Source organism: Homo sapiens, chromosome 9, assembly GCF_000001405.40.
Source record: "Homo sapiens chromosome 9, GRCh38.p14 Primary Assembly".
NCBI classification, from domain to species: Eukaryota; Metazoa; Chordata; class Mammalia; order Primates; family Hominidae; genus Homo; species Homo sapiens.
Window position 1 is genome coordinate 132,227,482 of NC_000009.12, and position 17,297 is coordinate 132,244,778.

At 60.2% G+C, this 17,297-nt stretch overlaps 1 protein-coding gene across 23 annotated transcripts in view, besides 4 other annotated features; it reads left to right on the plus strand.

Moving 5' to 3' along the window:
* NTNG2 (netrin G2) overlaps window positions 1-17,045 on the plus strand; it is an 82,838-nt gene extending 65,793 nt beyond the window's left edge. For 14 of the 23 annotated variants that reach the window (XM_011519096.3, XM_017015213.2, XM_047423970.1 and 11 more), the window contains 7 exons: window positions 3,091-3,114; window positions 4,162-4,308; window positions 8,170-8,238; window positions 9,940-10,041; window positions 11,623-11,790; window positions 13,429-13,563; window positions 14,395-17,045. In XM_011519096.3, the coding sequence (XP_011517398.1) occupies window positions 3,091-3,114; window positions 4,162-4,308; window positions 8,170-8,238; window positions 9,940-10,041; window positions 11,623-11,790; window positions 13,429-13,563; window positions 14,395-14,630 (881 nt within the window). In that variant the 3' untranslated portion in view covers window positions 14,631-17,045. The other 9 variants (XM_011519107.3, NM_032536.4, XM_011519106.3 and 6 more) reach the window with 8 other exon arrangements.
* Window positions 12,243-12,760: an enhancer, noted in NCBI's record as "H3K4me1 hESC enhancer chr9:135115111-135115628 (GRCh37/hg19 assembly coordinates)". NCBI's record gives its function as "activates a minimal SCP1, AML or CMV promoter by ChIP-STARR-seq in naive H9 embryonic stem cells {active_cell/tissue: H9 hESC(naive)}" and the evidence as "EXISTENCE:reporter gene assay evidence [ECO:0000049][PMID:30033119]".
* Window positions 13,549-14,038: a silencer, noted in NCBI's record as "silent region_20426". NCBI's record gives its function as "represses an Ori minimal core promoter by ATAC-STARR-seq in GM12878 lymphoblastoid cells {active_cell/tissue: GM12878}" and the evidence as "EXISTENCE:reporter gene assay evidence [ECO:0000049][PMID:35858748]".
* Window positions 14,189-14,238: a silencer, noted in NCBI's record as "silent region_20427". NCBI's record gives its function as "represses an Ori minimal core promoter by ATAC-STARR-seq in GM12878 lymphoblastoid cells {active_cell/tissue: GM12878}" and the evidence as "EXISTENCE:reporter gene assay evidence [ECO:0000049][PMID:35858748]".
* Window positions 14,709-14,778: a silencer, noted in NCBI's record as "silent region_20428". NCBI's record gives its function as "represses an Ori minimal core promoter by ATAC-STARR-seq in GM12878 lymphoblastoid cells {active_cell/tissue: GM12878}" and the evidence as "EXISTENCE:reporter gene assay evidence [ECO:0000049][PMID:35858748]".
* Window positions 17,046-17,297: the final 252 nt, after the last annotated feature.

Genomic DNA, 17,297 nt, shown 5'->3' on the forward strand with positions numbered 1-17,297 from the left:
TTCAGGTGAGGGGATCAGTAGCATCATCCCTGATCATAAGCATCTCTGGGGTGTTTGGAGCGAGCCACCAAGGCCAAGTGCTGCGTGTTCAGCACTCACCTCCATCCTCAGAGCAACCCCTGGGAACTGAGCTTCCGTTATCCCTTTTTACAGATGTGTCCTCTACGGCCTGCACCAGAGTCCCCCCGCACGTGCTCTCTGCCCACCCCTCTCCTGTCCTCGCCCAGCCATGCCAGGGAGCCATCCTCAGGGCCTGCCCACTCACATCTGCATCATAGACCCCCTTCTGAGGACCACCCACCCGGGCGCGCTAGCGTAGTCCACACTGTCTCCATGAAATCAGAATGCCAGGAAGCCCCTGGGCTGCAAGTGGAGAAGGCCACAGACTGCCCCTGGGGTGGGCTCTCCCTGACCCCCACCACTGCCACTTTACGGCCGTTCTCAAGTGTGTGGTTGGTGTCCGAGGCCCTCCTAGGCACTTTGTGCATCTCGCTTCACCCTCACACAGCCCCGCAGGGTGGAGTCCTTATTACGGTCCCTTCTCCAGATGAGCAGACTGAGGCCCAGCGAACCTCGGGGCCCTCCCAGGTTTCACAGTGAGTTGCATGCCAACGCCAGGGCTTAGGGCAGCTACTGGATCTGATGCTCAGACCAGGCCTGGGCAGTGGCCTCCTGCACCCCATCTGGGCATCCTCCCTCGACGGGTGAAAGATTTATGTGACTTTAGGCTGATCAAAGCTGAGAGCCACGTGCAGAGGCCATGACAGGCATGTCACGCGTGTGCTACAGCAGGCGGTGAGACAGGCCTTTGAAGGGGTGACTTGGCAGGCACCCGACAGCACTCTCGGGTCTTCAAAGGCACAAAGAGCACTCCGGGGGCTGACAGCCCACTCCAGCCGCTGCCTCCTCCCAGCTTCCTGTCCCCATCTCTTTGTGGTCCAAACCCTTTCCTGAGGTCTCTCTTTAGTGGCCGTCACTCTCTCCCTGACTCACAAATTTGCTGCCCTTTCGTCTGTCCTGAGGGCCGCTCTCTCTTCCCTCCTCTCTGTCTCAGTTCTCTCCACCATCACACCCTCCTTTTTTTTTTTTCTTAAAGATAAGTCTCTCACTCTGTCGTCCAGGCTGGAGTGCAGTGGCGCAGTCATGGCTCACTGTAACCTCAACCTCCTGGGCTTGAGCGATCCTCCCACTTCAGCCTCCCAAGTAGCTGGGACTGCAGGTGCACACCACCAGGCCCAGCTAATTTTCGTGTTTTTTTCAGAGAAAAGGTTTTGCCATGTTGCCCAGGCTGGTCTCGAGCTCCTGAGCTCTAGTAACCCTCCTGCCTTGGCCTCCCAAAGTGCTGGGATTACAGGCATGAGCCACCACGTCTGGCCATGTCTGGCTTTTTTCTTCCACTTGCCCCCTGCGCCTGGAGGGTTCTGCCCATCTCTGGCCACCTGAGACTCTTACCTGCCAGTCACACCTAGGAGGATCCACTGTCCCCACCCTCACCCCCAGTCACCACCTCCAGTCTAGCCAGCGATGGATAGACAGGCCTGTAGGGGCTGGGCAGCTGGGTCTTCCTTACTTAGGGGAGACTCCTGAGCTGGCCCCACCTCCTGCTTCCCTGGGAGTCCCCGGGAATTGCCTTTGAGGCCCCCAAGCCCCAGGAAGGAGGGGTTTCTTCTGGCATTTGCAGGGTCACAGGTGAGGCTGGAGGCGCTGCTGTCCTCAGCACCCAAGTCTCCTGCCTTCTCTGGGGTGCCAGCAGGAAACAGCCCAAAGAGACACAGAGGCTAATTTTGCCCTCACCCTGCCCCTACCGTGACCCCTCCTCAGTAAGTGGCACCGACACCCACGGGGCCAAGTGCAAGTCTGGGGGTCACCTTGACTGGAGACCCTCCTCCCGCCACGTTCTTTGAACTTCCCTCCATCCGCTCCAAGTCTCTCCCAATGCCATCCTCAGCCCTGCAGCAGCCCTCACTCCCGATGCCTTCCCACCTCCTCACCACTCTGCCCCCACCTGGCCAGCCCATCACCCTCCAGGGCCCAACTTGGAGCCCCCAGGACCTCCCCGTGCCCTGCCTGATGTCCCGCCTGTCCCCACAGAGCCTCACTTGGTCACCACCCAGTCCTGGCCCTTGCTTACTGTGGCTGCACCCCGAGGTGTCCTCAGGGTCTAGCAGGTGGCTGCCCAGACATGGAGGTGGAGGAAGGAGTGGGTGGGGATGGGCTTGTCCTCCCAGGCCTCCCTGCCTGTCCTGCTGGCCACAGCCTTGGCTTGCCCAGGAGAAGCCCATGGGCCACACATCCCACTGCCAATCCCACAGCGTCCTTTCTCGGGAACACCGTGGGGAAAGCTGTGGCACCAGCTCCTTCCTTTTGCAACTCTGATGAATCTCACCCAGGGATTTCAAGGCCCCTGGTCACACCAGGATCATAGGCCTCCCCCATCCCCTGGACACACAGAGACACACCTGGATTCAGGTCAGGCCTCGCCCACTCTCGGCTATATTTCTCCCCAAGCCGTGTGTCCTCAGCTGTAGAATCAGGACCATAAGGAAGTTCCCTCATAGGGTTCTTGTGAGGACGGCACGATTTACGCAGGGGATGCTGACACCGTGCCTGGCACGTGGGACGCACTCCACCCGCGGCAGCCGCTCCCATGGCTTCTCAGTGAGTTTTCCAGCCACACTGCACTTCTTAGACAGGAACACTCCATACGATGTCCCTGTCCTGCACTGGAGGGCCCAAAAATCTGAAATAAGAGGAGGAGTGCGTGTGAAGCTCCCAGTGGAGCGTTTGGCACCTGTCCAGCATGTCCCCAAGGGCAAGTCACGGCTCTGAGATTCAGTGTCTCCTTCTGCAAAATGGGCCAATAGTGGTTCCTCCCTCCCAGGGCTGAAGTGAGGATGAAATGGGATAATCCACCCCCGTCCCCACACCCTGCAGGTCATCATGATTGCTAGCAGTTGTGTGGTGGAGCAGGTGCTCTTGAGGGAGCGACACCTCCAGGTGCTCCCCTGCCCTGCTGGCCCCTCTGCAGGGAGGTGACACCCAGGCCCCTTCCCCTGGGGCAGCCAGCTCACGCCCGTCTCTCTCCCACAGGTGCCACTGCAGGTTCCTTTGGCAGTAAGTACACGCCTGGGGAGGGTGGCCAGGGCCCCCACTGCACGAGCCTCTTTGCATGTCCTGGAAAAAGCTGGAGAGAAAAAAGGGGCTTCAGTGTCCCCTCTGGGACTTGGGCCTATTCACTCCCTCCTCTAATTACACCCCATCTGCTTCTCCACCTCTCCCCCCTCCACCTCCCCCCCTCCACCCATCCCCACTTCACATCATATGCCATGTGTCATGTGTCATTTTGCTGTGGCCTGTGGCCCAGCAACTCTCAGGCTCTCCCAGGAGCTCCATCAGTGCTGCTTTGGAAAACGGGACAGGACTTTTTGCAGGTCTCTTGGCCCCTGGGTGGGCTCCCTGCTCCTCCTGCCACCCACGCCACTTCTCTCACCTGGATCTGGGAGAGCAGTCTCTCCTGCCAGTCAAGAGTGGGGTGACCTTCCCCCACCAGGGGCAGAATCCACCCCCTAGCCTAACCATGGGGGCAGCCTCCCTCTGGGCAGCCTCTGCAGCCAGCTTGTCCCAGGGCTCTGCTCGTCCAGGTCAGCTCAGGTCCCAGGGGAGTCGGACCAGGGAGGGGCATCTGCAGGAGGTGGGGGTCCTGAGAGTTCCCCAGGAGGGCGAGGGCGACATGGCGCCCACAGGTTATCAGTAAATGTCATCGAGACTGTCCCCAGACACTCACAGGGTGCCAGGCACGGTCTCTCCTTTCAGCCTTGCAAACCCCTCCCCCTGGGAGGTCGCCATCTGCTCTGCGAGGCAGCAGGAGAGGACTGGCCAATGTCAAAGAGCCAGCCGGGAGCAGACCCCAAATCTCAGAGATGCTTCTGGGGTGCACCGTCACCCTCCACCAGGGCTCTGTGGGGCCCCACATCCCACCCAAGTTGTCCCTCCCGGACCCAGGGGGCCCCTGGCTGGGAAGCCAGTGAGCCGAGAGGGCGCCAGAAAGAAGCTGGACCCTGCAGGGACGCTGGTCTGCACAGCCGTCGTAAGTTGCTTCTCTGTGGTGTCCCCACCCCGGCAACCCCCCAACCCTCTCTTGCTTTTCCCATCTCTCACCAGGCATCAGCAGGTCCCAGAAAGACCCCGACCCCAAAGGCCCTGTGGCCACTGCGGCCACCACAGCCATGACAGGGGCCCCTACTACTCCTGTCCCCTCCACGTCCACTGCCTGGGCCCCCATGGCGCCCAGCACCCCACAGCCCACAGGTGGGTGCCAGGGTACAGCGACCCCTGTCATCCCACCCTCTCCTGCTTCTAGCCTGGGTCCCTGCCTCTCTTGGGGTGGGAGGGTCGGCAGCCCTGGGCAGAGAGCAGGGGCTTGGCTCTTAGAATAGAGACGCTAGAACCCTAGAGCTGGGAGGCCACAGGCCAAAGGGGCTTGAGGACACCTGGGTCAACCTGTTCCTGAGCCCAGCCAGGGGATTCAGGGATCAGTTCAGCTTCCAAAGTCGTCTTCCTCCTGCCCTTCAAGCCATTGCTTGGAAGGGCTCCCAGACCATTGTGGCCAGACGGCTGCAGGAACTGAGAGGAAAGGTGCTGGGGGCAGCGAGGCCATCCTGACATGCAGCCAAAGACTGGCCTTATCTCCCAATGGTGCTTCTGCCTCCGTGGTCCCTGGAGCCCCGCCCACACCCTGTCCCCACCTGGCCCCCAGGGCCTCTCTGTCCTTAGCCCCTCAGCAGCACACCGGTGGGATGGATGGAGCAGGGTTAGCCCAGAAAGCAAATGTCTCTGATCAGCAGGGCAAAGGGAGCCTCTGGAGCTGAGTTTGGACACCGTGGGCTGCTGGGAATGTGGAGGCTGTGTGTGTAGTGCAAGGCCAGGCCAGGGCCAGACGTCCTGCCCCCTCAGGGGTCTGCCACAGACAGGCATGGAAACCTGATTCTCGCTCCCCTCCAACGGAGGGATTCACGTGTATTCAAGGCTGGGGGTGCTGGAGTGGGCCTCTGCTCTCACCTGGACTCACCTGGGGAGTATCCCTGCACTCTGTGCAGTGCAGGTGCCAGGGGTCTGAAAGGATTTATCCTTCCCAGAGGGCACCAGGAAGACGATGACCAAGGGGAATTCTTCCTGGTCCCAGCCAGGGAGGGGTGCTCCAATAGCCTGCCACACCCTGTCCCCCGCCACCCTGCAGGGAGGACCTGGTGGGGACTCCTGGCCCCTTGGGTAGTGCCCTGGCCCTCCATCTCTCTGATCCAAGGAGACCTGCCCCACTGATCCTTCCCCCTTGGGGGGTGGCATTTCTAAAGGGCAGAGTCCCCTCCATCAGCTCCTGCCTCGGCCTGTTGCTGGGTGGACACTCAGGCTCCCCAGACAGGGGCAAATGCTGAGAGAAAGACCTCCTCCTTCCTAGGCCATCCAGAGCAGCTCCCCTGGGGGCAGCACACCCCACCTCTTTCTACATCCTTCCTTTTCTGCAGGAGGCATTTACAGGAGGCAGGGGCTAGCCAAAAGATTGGAGGATTTCCGGGAAGCCTCCTGACCCAGGAATCCTCTTTGGGGTGGAAGACATGGGTCACTCTGAGAATTCTGGACTTCAGACATAGGTTGGCCCAGCCACAAGGGACCTGTGCTTTGCTGCTGAGCCTGTGGTGGGCAGACAGAAGCAAAAACAGTGGTGGTGGGTGCTGTGCCTGTCTCCAAACAGGGGTTTGGCTGGGAGGCCAGATACTCTCCATATCACATGTGCAAGTGCACACATGCACACACACACATGCATGCACACACACAGGCATGCACACGCACATGTACACACACACACACACAGAGGAATCCATTTGCAGAGCTGCTTCTGACTTGGTGCCAGGGCAGCCGTGGGAGGCTGGGCAGATTGTGCAAAGTTGGGAATTAAAGAGGAAAAGTCAGAGGCCAGAGTGGGAAATGCAGGGGAGGTGAGGGTCCCCAGGACCCCCTCAGTGAGCAGAAGGCACACCCTCCCTCTCGGCAAGACAGTGCTGCTCTGCACCCTCAGCCCTGTATCAAGAAGCAGGACATTAGGGGAGGAGGTGGCTCCAATGTGACAGCCAGTGGCCCCTACAGCCCACATCTAGGGGCTCCTCCCTCCTCTTCAGCAACTGAAGCCCCTGTCCAGAGCCCCCATTAATGAAAACGATCATTGCAGTAGCTGAGGGTGAGTTCTCCTGGGCTGTGCTCGTATCATTGTATCATCATATCATTGTATTCTGGGCTCACAGCTCCGTGAGATGGAGGCTGTTATTTTCCTAGTCCCACAGGTGAGGGGATCGAGGCTTAGGAAGAAGCAGCTGGATTTTATGATATGTAAATTACACCTCAATCAAGCTGTTTCAGAAGAAAAAAGGGGCAGCTGCTCAAGGTCTCAGAATTATGGAGAGGCACGGGCAGGATTTGAACTCAGGGCTCGCCAACTCAGCCACCCAAAGCTATTGTCCTGAGGCCTCCAGGGGCTATGAGGTAGAGCTATCTTTTTTTTTTTTTTTTTTGAGATGGAGTTTCGCTCTTGTCGCTGAGGCTGGAGTGCAATGGAGCAATCTCAGCTCACTGCAACCTCCGCCCCCCCAGGTTCAAGCAATTCTCCTGCCTCAGCCTCCCGAGTAGCTGGGATTACAGGCACCTGTCACCATGTTCAGCTACTTTTTGTCTTTTTAGAGAGACAGGGTTTCACCATGTTGGTCAGGCTGGTGTTGAACTCCTGACCTCAAGTGATCCACCCGCCTCAGCCTCCCAAAGTGCTGGGATTCCAGGCGTGAGCCACCGCACCCGGCCAAGTAGTGCTGTCTCCAAGGCCTGGCTTGCAGGGCTTCCCAGTTCCAAAGGAGCAGACCGGGCTTCCATGGGGCCTTGGCACAGCACACAGGCCATGGCGAGAACTTGCTTCCCACACACCTGAGTGTGTCCCTGGGCAGCCAAGCCAGGACTCTCTCCCTCCCCAAGACCCTGGTCCCTGAAAGATCCTGAATACCCCCGAGTGCCTCCCAACAGGTGCTTCGGGCTCTTTGAACAGAGTCCAGCTGGGCCTCTGAACTCCTGGGCCAGATGTTTCTCCCGCCTGCCAATGTCAAGCTGTCTGGAGGACAGCGCTGCGGGCGGAAAACGCCGCTGGAGACACTAATCCTTTCCTGGGCTGGGCCACGGAGGATGGAGGGAGACAGGCTCTGAAGCAAATGCCTTCAGGGCTGGCTTTCTCATGGCTCTAATTAAGCCCTTGCCAATTTGGGCCTGGCGGCCTCATCTTCCCACTGAACATCATATTAAAGTCAATTCATGTCCAAAGCTCCCCGCTCCCAGCTGGAAAGTCTTCCGCACTTGTTAGCTGGTAGCTTTTCCTTTTCTTTCCCCACAGCCACCGTTGTGTATAATCCCTTCAAGAAGCGGAAAACAGCAGCGCTCCCCTGTCCCTCTGGGTTTGTCCTTTGAAATTTGGGCACAGGGCAGTTCTTTGCCAGCCCTGCCTGCCTGCCTTGCTGGCTGTGTGTCCCGTTAGTCTACGGGCTGAGCGTTGTGTCACTGGTTCATGCTGGGGTCCCTGGTGAAAATGGGCCAGGCCAGGGGTCAGGAAGGTAGAAGGGCAGTGATCAGGGAAGCAGGTCAGATGCTGGGGAAGGCTCCGGTCCCTGGATTGCGGCTGGACAGGAAGGACACCTTCCAGGACACTTCTGGACACATGTAAGATCTTGGCCGGAACACATGTCCCACTTCGCAGCCATTAGCCAGAGACATCAGCTCAGAGAGGTCTGGGCCCAGAGGCGGGACCTGGTCTAGCTCTGTCCTTCAGTCAGAACGGGGACGGCACAGGGAGTGTAGAAGGGTCTCGCTGAAGAATATGCAGATTCTCAGGCATGGGTTCACCTCTCATCTATCGGGCTTTAAGTCTGCATGTGCCCTCCACAGGCTGAAATAGTGTAGATGCTGCCTATGTAGTAGATTTGGACCCAATTCCTTTGGCCAGTGTAGACAGAGCCTCTCCTTATAGTGCTGCTGCTTCTAAGGGGCCTGTGGGGTGCGGGGCTGTGATGCCTCAGTATGTACCCAGCTTCCCTCAGCACCACCCCCTCGCATAACTTGGTTTCTTCTCTTCTTCCCCCCAAGAGTGGACCAGGCCATCTACGGCTGCCCCTCTCTCGAGCAGGTGGTCCCAGGTGGCCTCCCGTGCAGAAGGTATGGGGGGGCAAGGCCTGTGATGGGCCTGAGACCCCGGGGAAGCGCCCTCTTAGACTCGTAGGCCCCTCCCTCTGTAGTGGAAGTAGCAGGTGTGCATGGTGGGGACCTGAGGTTGGAGGGGGGCCGCAGGAACCAACTGAGGGCACGGGTGTAGAATGTCGGTGCCTGGGGAGCTCTAGGGCACAGTGGTGAGGGAGCGGCCTGGTAGAGCAGGTCTACCAGCTCTGCCCCCAAGCTCACCTGCTTCAAGAGGTTCCATGTGGCACCCCCACGCCAAGCCCTTCCACCAGCACTCCCTCCGAGGGCTTCGGAGTCTGGTAGAGGCCCCGCCTCCCACGACAGGAACCCCCCTCTCCAGCTGCCCTTGCTCACAGGACACCTGGGCAGTTGCTGGATCAGAGAGTCAGAGGGGGCTTCCTGCAGGAGCGGGGGCCATGAGACCTCGGAGGGTGGACTGTGGTGGGTGAAGGGAGAAGGCAGCACATTCCAGGCCGCAGGGCCAGCCGGGGCAAAGGCTTGGCAGTGGGATGGCAGGGAGCCTGACAAAGTGGAAAATGTGTGGGTTAAAGGAGGGAGGGCGGGGTCCTGGAAGACACTGACATCCTCCTGCTACGTGGGAGGAGACACAGGGCTCATCTGTAGCCATAGACAGACATGCCAAGGAAACGCGCAGGCCTGCCCGACTCTCCAGAAGGGAAATTGTCCCTGGCCCCAGCTCACCAAGCCTGGGTGGGGAATTAGGGCCTGAGGTCTAGGGAACAGGTGAGCTGTTCCTTCCAGCTCACATGTTCAAATTTCCTCCAGCCCCAGCTCTGAGCAGCGAGCAGGGCTTTGAGCGCCCTCTACTGGCAGGAAGCTCTGGCGCTGGAAGCATGTTTAGAGAGGGTCTGAGGCTCGGTTCCTAGAAACCTGGAGGACCTGGGCCTGGTGTCCTCTGTGGTGATGGAGACAGAGCTGGCGGGAGCCATCGCTTCCCTACCCTGGGCCAACCAGGGCACCACAGACCCCCAGAGGGAAGCCAAGGTAGTGACGATCCCGGGACAGTGGCCTGCTCACCCACAGATAGGGCGTTGGGGTCCCAGCGGGATTCTGGGCAGTGGAAGGCAGGTGCCGTCCGTGTTCCTGGCTTGACAGCACTTGCGAGTGGGACTCCAGGGACAGCGAAGGATTCACTTCGGCTGGAGCAGGAAGAGTGTTTCAGAAAGGAAGGGAGATGCCAAAGTCCTTAAATGCCAAGTTTAGTCTCTGGGTTTGATGCTCCAGGAAGTTTGGAGAGGCGGTGGGGAGAGCAAGAGACGGGCGTGGTGTGCAATGTGATGTCAATCTATCTAAAAACAGTTTGGCTTCCAAGAAGGTCTTAGCAGGGCGCGGGGGTGTCAGGGGTTACAGAAGTCATTTGGAGGATTAATCCAGCCAGATGTGTCCATGGTCTCAGAGAGGGGACCAAGGGCAGGGCTGATTTGCAAGCTTGGGATGTGCTGTGTTTCCTTCAGGAAGGGGCCCCACCTCCCTGGGCTCTTCGAGGAGAGGGGCTGTGTGATTTGAGGCCAGAGGGGCCTCTCCCTCCCTCACATCTGAGCAGGCGACAAGGCTGCCTGCCCTAGAGCTGGCCCAGGGCGGCTCGGAAGCCTTTGCTGGGCTCTTCCCTGGGCAGTGGGACCATGACAGACGAAAGAACCTGTTTCTCATCTCTCCAAGCTGTGGGCACCCCTGCCGCTGCCCCTGCCCCTGCCAAGGGCTACAAACTTTTCCAGCTCAAGCCCAAATCTCCTCAAGTGATGCCTATTGAAGAATTCCAAGGTAAGAGGATGGACCTGGGGCCCCATCAGCCCTCCCTGACACCTGTTCCCCATCCGCCGCTGGAAAAAGACGGTGCAGGATAGAGGACCGATGCCTGGCTCCGAAAACCCTCCTGGAGTAGCTGGGTCAAGGTTAAACTGAGTCTCTCTTCCCTACAGGCCTCCCTCCCCAAGGGAGCTGGGAGCAGGTATGAGTCAGAAGCCAACTTGGGCACAGTGGGCAGGCCACACAGCAGGCAGAGCAGATGCCAGAAATAGCCCATCCCGGCTCCCCTGGGAGGTGTGGCCCTGGGGCTCGTGTTGGTTGAAGCAGAATCTGGGACACACGGGTCACCGATGCTGCTCTTTGGGACACTTAGAGGATGCCTCATCTCCTCATTATCTCTGGAGGGACAAAGTGAAGGGGGCAGGACTAGGTGGCCCACAGGTGGGAGTGCCCACCATCTCTCCTGGGCACAGGCTGTTTCTCTAGTCTCCCATGCCCTTGACCACTGGGTCAGTCCCTCATCCCATCACAAAAGGGAAGCTGGGTCCTCTAGAGATACACAGATGGTGTTTCAAGAGGGTGGCCGTTGTCCTTCCTTGTTCGGGGGCAGCCACATTGGCTTTCTTGCTGGAGGGTGGGTGGGTGGGTGAGTACTGTGTCCCTTCGTAGGAACATCAAGGGATGCCCCCCCATTCTTAGGGATGGTGACCTTCCTCACCAAATCCTCCATTGACAATGTGGGATTCACCTCCAATCCCTGAGAGCCTTGCCCCAGGCAGTCACGGGCTTGTCTGGTCCTTGGAGCGGAGCTGGTTAGGCAGGGGTCAGCCTGAGAACCACGTAGGGGTGGGGTGCAGGAGGCGGCAGGACATGGTGGTGGTGGTCCTTGGTATGAAACCATGTGCTTCCAGGAGCAGCGAGTCAGAAGCCGGGCCAGGACCAGGGGGAGGCATGCAGGTTCCCAGGGCTCCTGCTTTAAAGTGGCACTCACTCTTAGCATCCTGCAAAACAATCAAACTTGCAGAAAGCTCAGGCTAATAAGAAAGGGTCTGGCAGGTGGGCGTTTTCCTCCCAGCCATCTTCCAAAGCAGCATGGGCAGGAGCTCCTGGCCCATTGCATCTTGTCCAGCGTCCATCCATGCATTCATCTACCCGAGGATACCACGGCGAGCGCCGTGAACCCAGGCGTCGCCCTCCCCCAGTGCACAGCCAGGTGGCATGACCCTGCCCTCCTTGCATGAATCACTTTCTAATCACCCCGGCATGTGGGCATCCTTCAGCGAGCGCTTGGCCCTGGTGCCCAGCCAGGCATTAGCAGGAGCTGCCCACTGGCCCTCCCTGGTTCCCTGCCCACAGGGCCAGGTGGGAATCCCTGGGCTCAGCCTACTCAGGTTCTCCTCTGGGCTCAAAGCAGGGAGGCCTCTCTCTTCCTGAATCCGATGGAAGGGTGGGAGGCCTAGGGCACCTTCCGGTACCTTTTCCAAAGATGCCTTCCTCCGTCCCTGCATGACCTGGGGTGAGTCCTTCCTCGCCCTGTCCCTCAGTTTCCCTGAATGCTCGCTGACCATTGGTATTTCTCCCACTTGGCCGGCCCAGACTGCGAATGCTACGGTCACTCCAACCGCTGCAGCTACATTGACTTCCTGAATGTGGTGACCTGCGTCAGCTGCAAGCACAACACGCGAGGTCAGCACTGCCAGCACTGCCGGCTGGGCTACTACCGCAACGGCTCGGCAGAGCTGGATGATGAGAACGTCTGCATTGGTGAGAGGGCACGGACACGGCACAGGGAACTTGCTGGAATGCGTGCAGGGTGCACTGCCCTGCGAGGTGGCCTCTGGGGCCCCCTGCATCAGAATCACCTGGGGAGACTGTGGGAATTCTAACTCCAGGGCCCTCTCCAGTTGAGCATCTCTAAGGACAGAAAGCTCCAGAAACTGCTCTATTAGTAACCTACCCTTGCGGTTCTCCGGTAAGTTTTGCACTGGAGTTGCAAAACTTACCAGTGGCCCTTCCCTCTCTGGGCAACTGGAGGGGACACTGACCCTTCCTGGCTCCAAAGAGCTGTGACTCTGGCAGGTGGCAGGCACTCAGTGGCAGAGGCCACTGAGCATCTGTCTGGGGCTGGTGTGTGGGGGGGTCCCCCTCCATAGCTCCTTTCCAGAAAGGTGGAGGAGCAGCCTATCCCTCCTCCTGCAGGGGCCCAGTTGGGGGCCAAAAGATCGCCTTGCTGCGTGCATTTGTGCAAGTCCCTTCCCGTTCCTGGGCCTCAGCTTCCTCATTCATCAAATTGGGAGGCAGATCAGATCAAAGGTTTTCAGCTCTTTTTTGTGGCTGAAGCTTTTCTTCAAATGCTTTACCAGCCCAGGTCCAGCTATAAAGCTGCTCTTCACCCCTGGTGGGCACCCAGTCTGCTTTCTTCCAAGTTCTACTCAAGGACTGGCTTTTGGGTAGAGAAGGAAGTCCATCAGGGCCCTGGGCCTGGGCAAAGACCAAAGCCATGACCGCCAACCAAAACGCACCAGCCTGGAATGGTTGCCCCTGTCGTCAGTAGAGGCCAGGTCTCGGCCTCAGGGGCTGTCCCCCAACCCTGCCCAGCCAGGCCCCTTGGGACACCATCACCCATCCCCCACCCAGCAGGAGGCTCTGGCTGCCCAGAGGAGGGGCTCCTGCAAAGCTGGAGCTGTCGGTCTGAATTCTGGCGGCAGCCTTCAGATAATTCCATCAACTCTAAGTGATCAAAGCCGCTGACGTCACAGGGGGCCAGCTGCAGGGACAGGGCAGGGCCTTTGGATCCAATTAGAGGTGCCCACACCCTGGCACCCTCCTCCTCTCCCTGGCTCTCCCTGCCTCCACCCCGAGAGCCAGCACTGAGCTGCAAGGTTTCTCAGGGTGGACGATATTCACCCTCTCCCACAGAGCCCCAAGGCAACCAACTGGGCCCACCCCGGGAGCAGGAATAGGCTGTTCCTCCACTCCCCTGCAAAGGAGCTATGGAGGGGGGCCACCCCACAACACAGCAGCCCCAGACATGCTCAGTGGCCTCTGCTGAGTTTCTGCCACCTGTCGGAGTCATAGCTCTTTGGAGATGGGAAGGACAGCGACCCCTCTAGTTGCCCAGAGAGGGGAAGGGGCTGACCCAGGCCACACCAGTGCCAGGGCGGGGAAGGTGGGGCTGGGACGTGTTTGATCCCAAGGAAGGAAGCCAGAGTCTTCTCTCCAGGCCTGGCCACCCTGGGAAGTCCCCACCTGCCGTCCAGCCGCGGGCTCACGTGGACCCAGTGTGGGGAGCATCCCCTGGGGAGTGTGGAGATGCTCCCTGCGAGGCCGGGAGAGTGGGGGTCCGAGAAGACGGCGCCCACACGTAGCCCTGACCGCGCGCCCGTGCCCGTGTCCGTCCAGAGTGTAACTGCAACCAGATAGGCTCCGTGCACGACCGGTGCAACGAGACCGGCTTCTGCGAGTGCCGCGAGGGCGCGGCGGGCCCCAAGTGCGACGACTGCCTCCCCACGCACTACTGGCGCCAGGGCTGCTACCGTGAGTGCGCGCCGTCCCCCGTGGGCGGGGCCTGCGGAAAGGGGACGGGGCAGGACCGAGGCAGTGGGCGGGGCCTAGTGGGACGGGGCAGGGGCGGTGGACTGGGCCTAGCAAGACGGGGCAGGGCCGGGGAAGTGGGTGGGGCCTAGTGGGACGGGGAAGAGGCGGTGGGCGGGGCCTCGCGAGACGGGGCAGGGCCGGGGCAGTGGGTGGGGCCTAGTGAGAGCGGGGCAGGGTTGGGATAGTTGGCAGGGGCCTGGTGAGATGGGGCCGACCCGGGGGCGGTGGACGGGGCCTAGCGAGACGGAGCTGGCAGGTGGGCGGGGACAGGATGCTGCTGAGGTCCGGGGCCGGGCCGAGGGGCGGGTCCAAGAGCTCGGGGCGGGGCCTGATGCGACCTGAGGCACGGTGGTGCCTGGTGGGAACTACGAGAAAGACCGAGCTGGGGTTGGTTGGAAAGGTATTTGCGGGGACAGAGGGAGGGAGGCTGTCCAAGTCGGCGTTAGCCGCGGGCACAGGGTGAAAGGAGGCTCCAGGCGCGTGGAACAGCACGTGCACAGCTCTGGAGACTGCAGGCGCGTCTGAAGAACAGCACCGAGGCCAGTGGGGCGGGGAGAGAGGGGCAGCGGTGGGAGGCAGCCGGGGGCCAGATCTCGCCCGGGCGCCGTCACCCTCCGAGGGGGGACGTTTCGCACCCAGCGCGCCTGGAGCCTCCTACATCCCCGGCCCAGACGGCGCCCCCGGGATCTCGCACACCCTGCTTCGCAGGAGCTCGGAGGTTGGCGGGGGGACCGGGCCACCCCCCGTGCTGACCGCCCCCTCCGCCTGCAGCCAACGTGTGCGACGACGACCAGCTGCTGTGCCAGAACGGAGGCACCTGCCTGCAGAACCAGCGCTGCGCCTGCCCGCGCGGCTACACCGGCGTGCGCTGCGAGCAGCCCCGCTGCGACCCCGCCGACGATGACGGCGGTCTGGACTGCGACCGCGCGCCCGGGGCCGCCCCGCGCCCCGCCACCCTGCTCGGCTGCCTGCTGCTGCTGGGGCTGGCCGCCCGCCTGGGCCGCTGAGCCCCGCCCGGAGGACGCTCCCCGCACCCGGAGGCCGGGGGTCCCGGGGTCCCGGGGCGGGGCCGGCGTCCGAGGCCGGGCGGTGAGAAGGGTGCGGCCCGAGGTGCTCCCAGGTGCTACTCAGCAGGGCCCCCCGCCCGGCCCGCGCTCCCGCCCGCACTGCCCTCCCCCCGCAGCAGGGGCGCCTTGGGACTCCGGTCCCCGCGCCTGCGATTTGGTTTCGTTTTTCTTTTGTATTATCCGCCGCCCAGTTCCTTTTTTGTCTTTCTCTCTCTCTCTTTTTTTTTTTTTTTTTCTGGCGGTGAGCCAGAGGGTCGGGAGAAACGCTGCTCGCCCCACACCCCGTCCTGCCTCCCACCACACTTACACACACGGGACTGTGGCCGACACCCCCTGGCCTGTGCCAGGCTCACGGGCGGCGGCGGACCCCGACCTCCAGTTGCCTACAATTCCAGTCGCTGACTTGGTCCTGTTTTCTATTCTTTATTTTTCCTGCAACCCACCAGACCCCAGGCCTCACCGGAGGCCCGGTGACCACGGAACTCACCGTCTGGGGGAGGAGGAGAGAAGGAAGGGGTGGGGGGCCTGGAAACTTCGTTCTGTAGAGAACTATTTTTGTTTGTATTCACTGTCCCCTGCAAGGGGGACGGGGCGGGAGCACTGGTCACCGCGGGGGCCGATGGTGGAGAATCCGAGGAGTAAAGAGTTTGCTCACTGCTGCCTCCACGGCCTGTTTTCTTTCTGTGTTGGGGACGGTGGGCAGGTGTGGGGCTTACAGAGGAATCCACAACACAGCCTTAAAGAAACGGTTTCCCTACTGGGGCCACCATTTCCCTGGGCCTTTCTGTGGATTCCAGCAGGCAGTGCCCCCTCCCCGCAGGCTTGGCTGGCAGAGTTTTCCACCCCGCGGCCAGGCTGCAGGTGCCCCACCTGTTAGGAGCCTCCCCACACTGAAAGGCTGCCTCCCTCCTTTCCCAAAAAAGAAATCCGGAGTGTATTGGCCCTTTTCTACAGAAGTCCAAGGGAAATGACTCAGGGAGAATCCTAGCAGAGGTTGAATCCAATGCTCTGATTTATACTGTGTCTCGGTGGCCACCTCCGATGGATGTGTCATCTCAGACCTGTTGCAGCCGGAGCCTCAAGTCCAATATCAGATGAAGCTGAACCCACAATTCGGCCACCGCCTCCTTCCAGAGTTTCAGATGGCCAGGTGGGCAGAGGCGGGCAGTGCAGAGACCCCAGACGTGCCGGCCCTGTCCTCCCTACCTTCTCAAGATTAGGAAGGGGTGCTGGAGGGGACAGGGGCAGCTTGGGAGTGGTGAGGAAGCTCCTAGATTCGGGGCTCATCCCCTGGGGCCTCTGATTCAGAGGATCCAGCAGTTCTCCCATCTCCGCTTGGTGTCTCCAGCCCTGGGGCCACACTTCCCCCTCGGTCCAGCCTCCTGTCCACCTATGTTTATTTCAGAGCAGTGCCGGGGGTCCGGTCCTGGTTGCTAACTGCTGCCACTGCTCCACCTGCAGGTGCTCCCAGCACTGGCTTCTGCCACCACACCTGTTCTTTCCCAGCTGCGAGGTTTAGACCTGGGTCCTTCCCTTGAGTCCCCAAAGCTAAGCTAAGACCAAGTGGAACAAACTTGGCCTTGGGGACAGCAGGAGATTACAACACAGAAAAGGAGGGGGAGGCACAACGGGACACTGCATAGGACTCACAGTGTCCCGAGCCCACACACCAGCCCCTCCTGGCCTCCTCTCTCTGCTCCCACCCCCAGCACCCTGCTGACCCGGAAGTGCCTTCCGACAGGCCCTGCATCCTCCTGCAGCTGGCCCATCTCTACCCTCACATTCTTCCTTACGCACAGAACCCCACTGCCTGGGACCCAAAGTGCCCAGATAAAATAAAACACCTCTCTGGGGCTTCTTGTGGATAGGAGTGGCCAGGGGACACAGCTCTGGGCAGTGAGATGTAAGCAGGACTGATGGGTGGGCTTCCAGAAAGTTCTTAAAAGTCATCCCTTCCTCCACGCCCCACAAAGCCTCAGTTGTCCAAGTTTGTGGCTCTGGTTTTTCTCTCTCATCCCTCCCTCTGCTCTTCAGTCAGCAGGATGGGGAAGGAGCCTTCTTGAGACACTGAGCATAACAGTGTCACCCTCAGGATAGTGAAGGGTGGAGCCGGGGGTGGAAGTTGCAGAGCCTGGGACACCTGCCTTGGCTGCAACCTCTGCACTGCTTTTATTTATCTACTTATTTTTATAGAGTTGAGGTCTCACTATGTTGCCCAGGCTGGTCTCAAACTCCTAGGCTCAAGTGAGCCTCCGGCCTTGGCCTCCCGAAGTGCTGAGATTACAGGCATGAGCCACCGCACCACCTGCCTGTCTTACTGTGTGAGAAAAAAAATAAACGGTGATGTGATTAAAACACTAGAATTTGGGTTTTCTGTTCCATGCACACTTTCCAAGTTCTTGGCCCTGCCTGATTGGCATCCGGGCCCCCTGAGCCCTCTAAGGCCAGAGAGAGACTGAAACCCACCCTTCCTTGGCCGCAGCCCCCCATGGTGACCCTCAAGTCACCAGGAAGAGGAATGTCCATGACTCAGGCCGAGGAGTCCACCTCTGTCCAGAACAGGACTGCCCCTGCCTTCTAGTGAGCACAGGGCAGCTGAGCAGAACT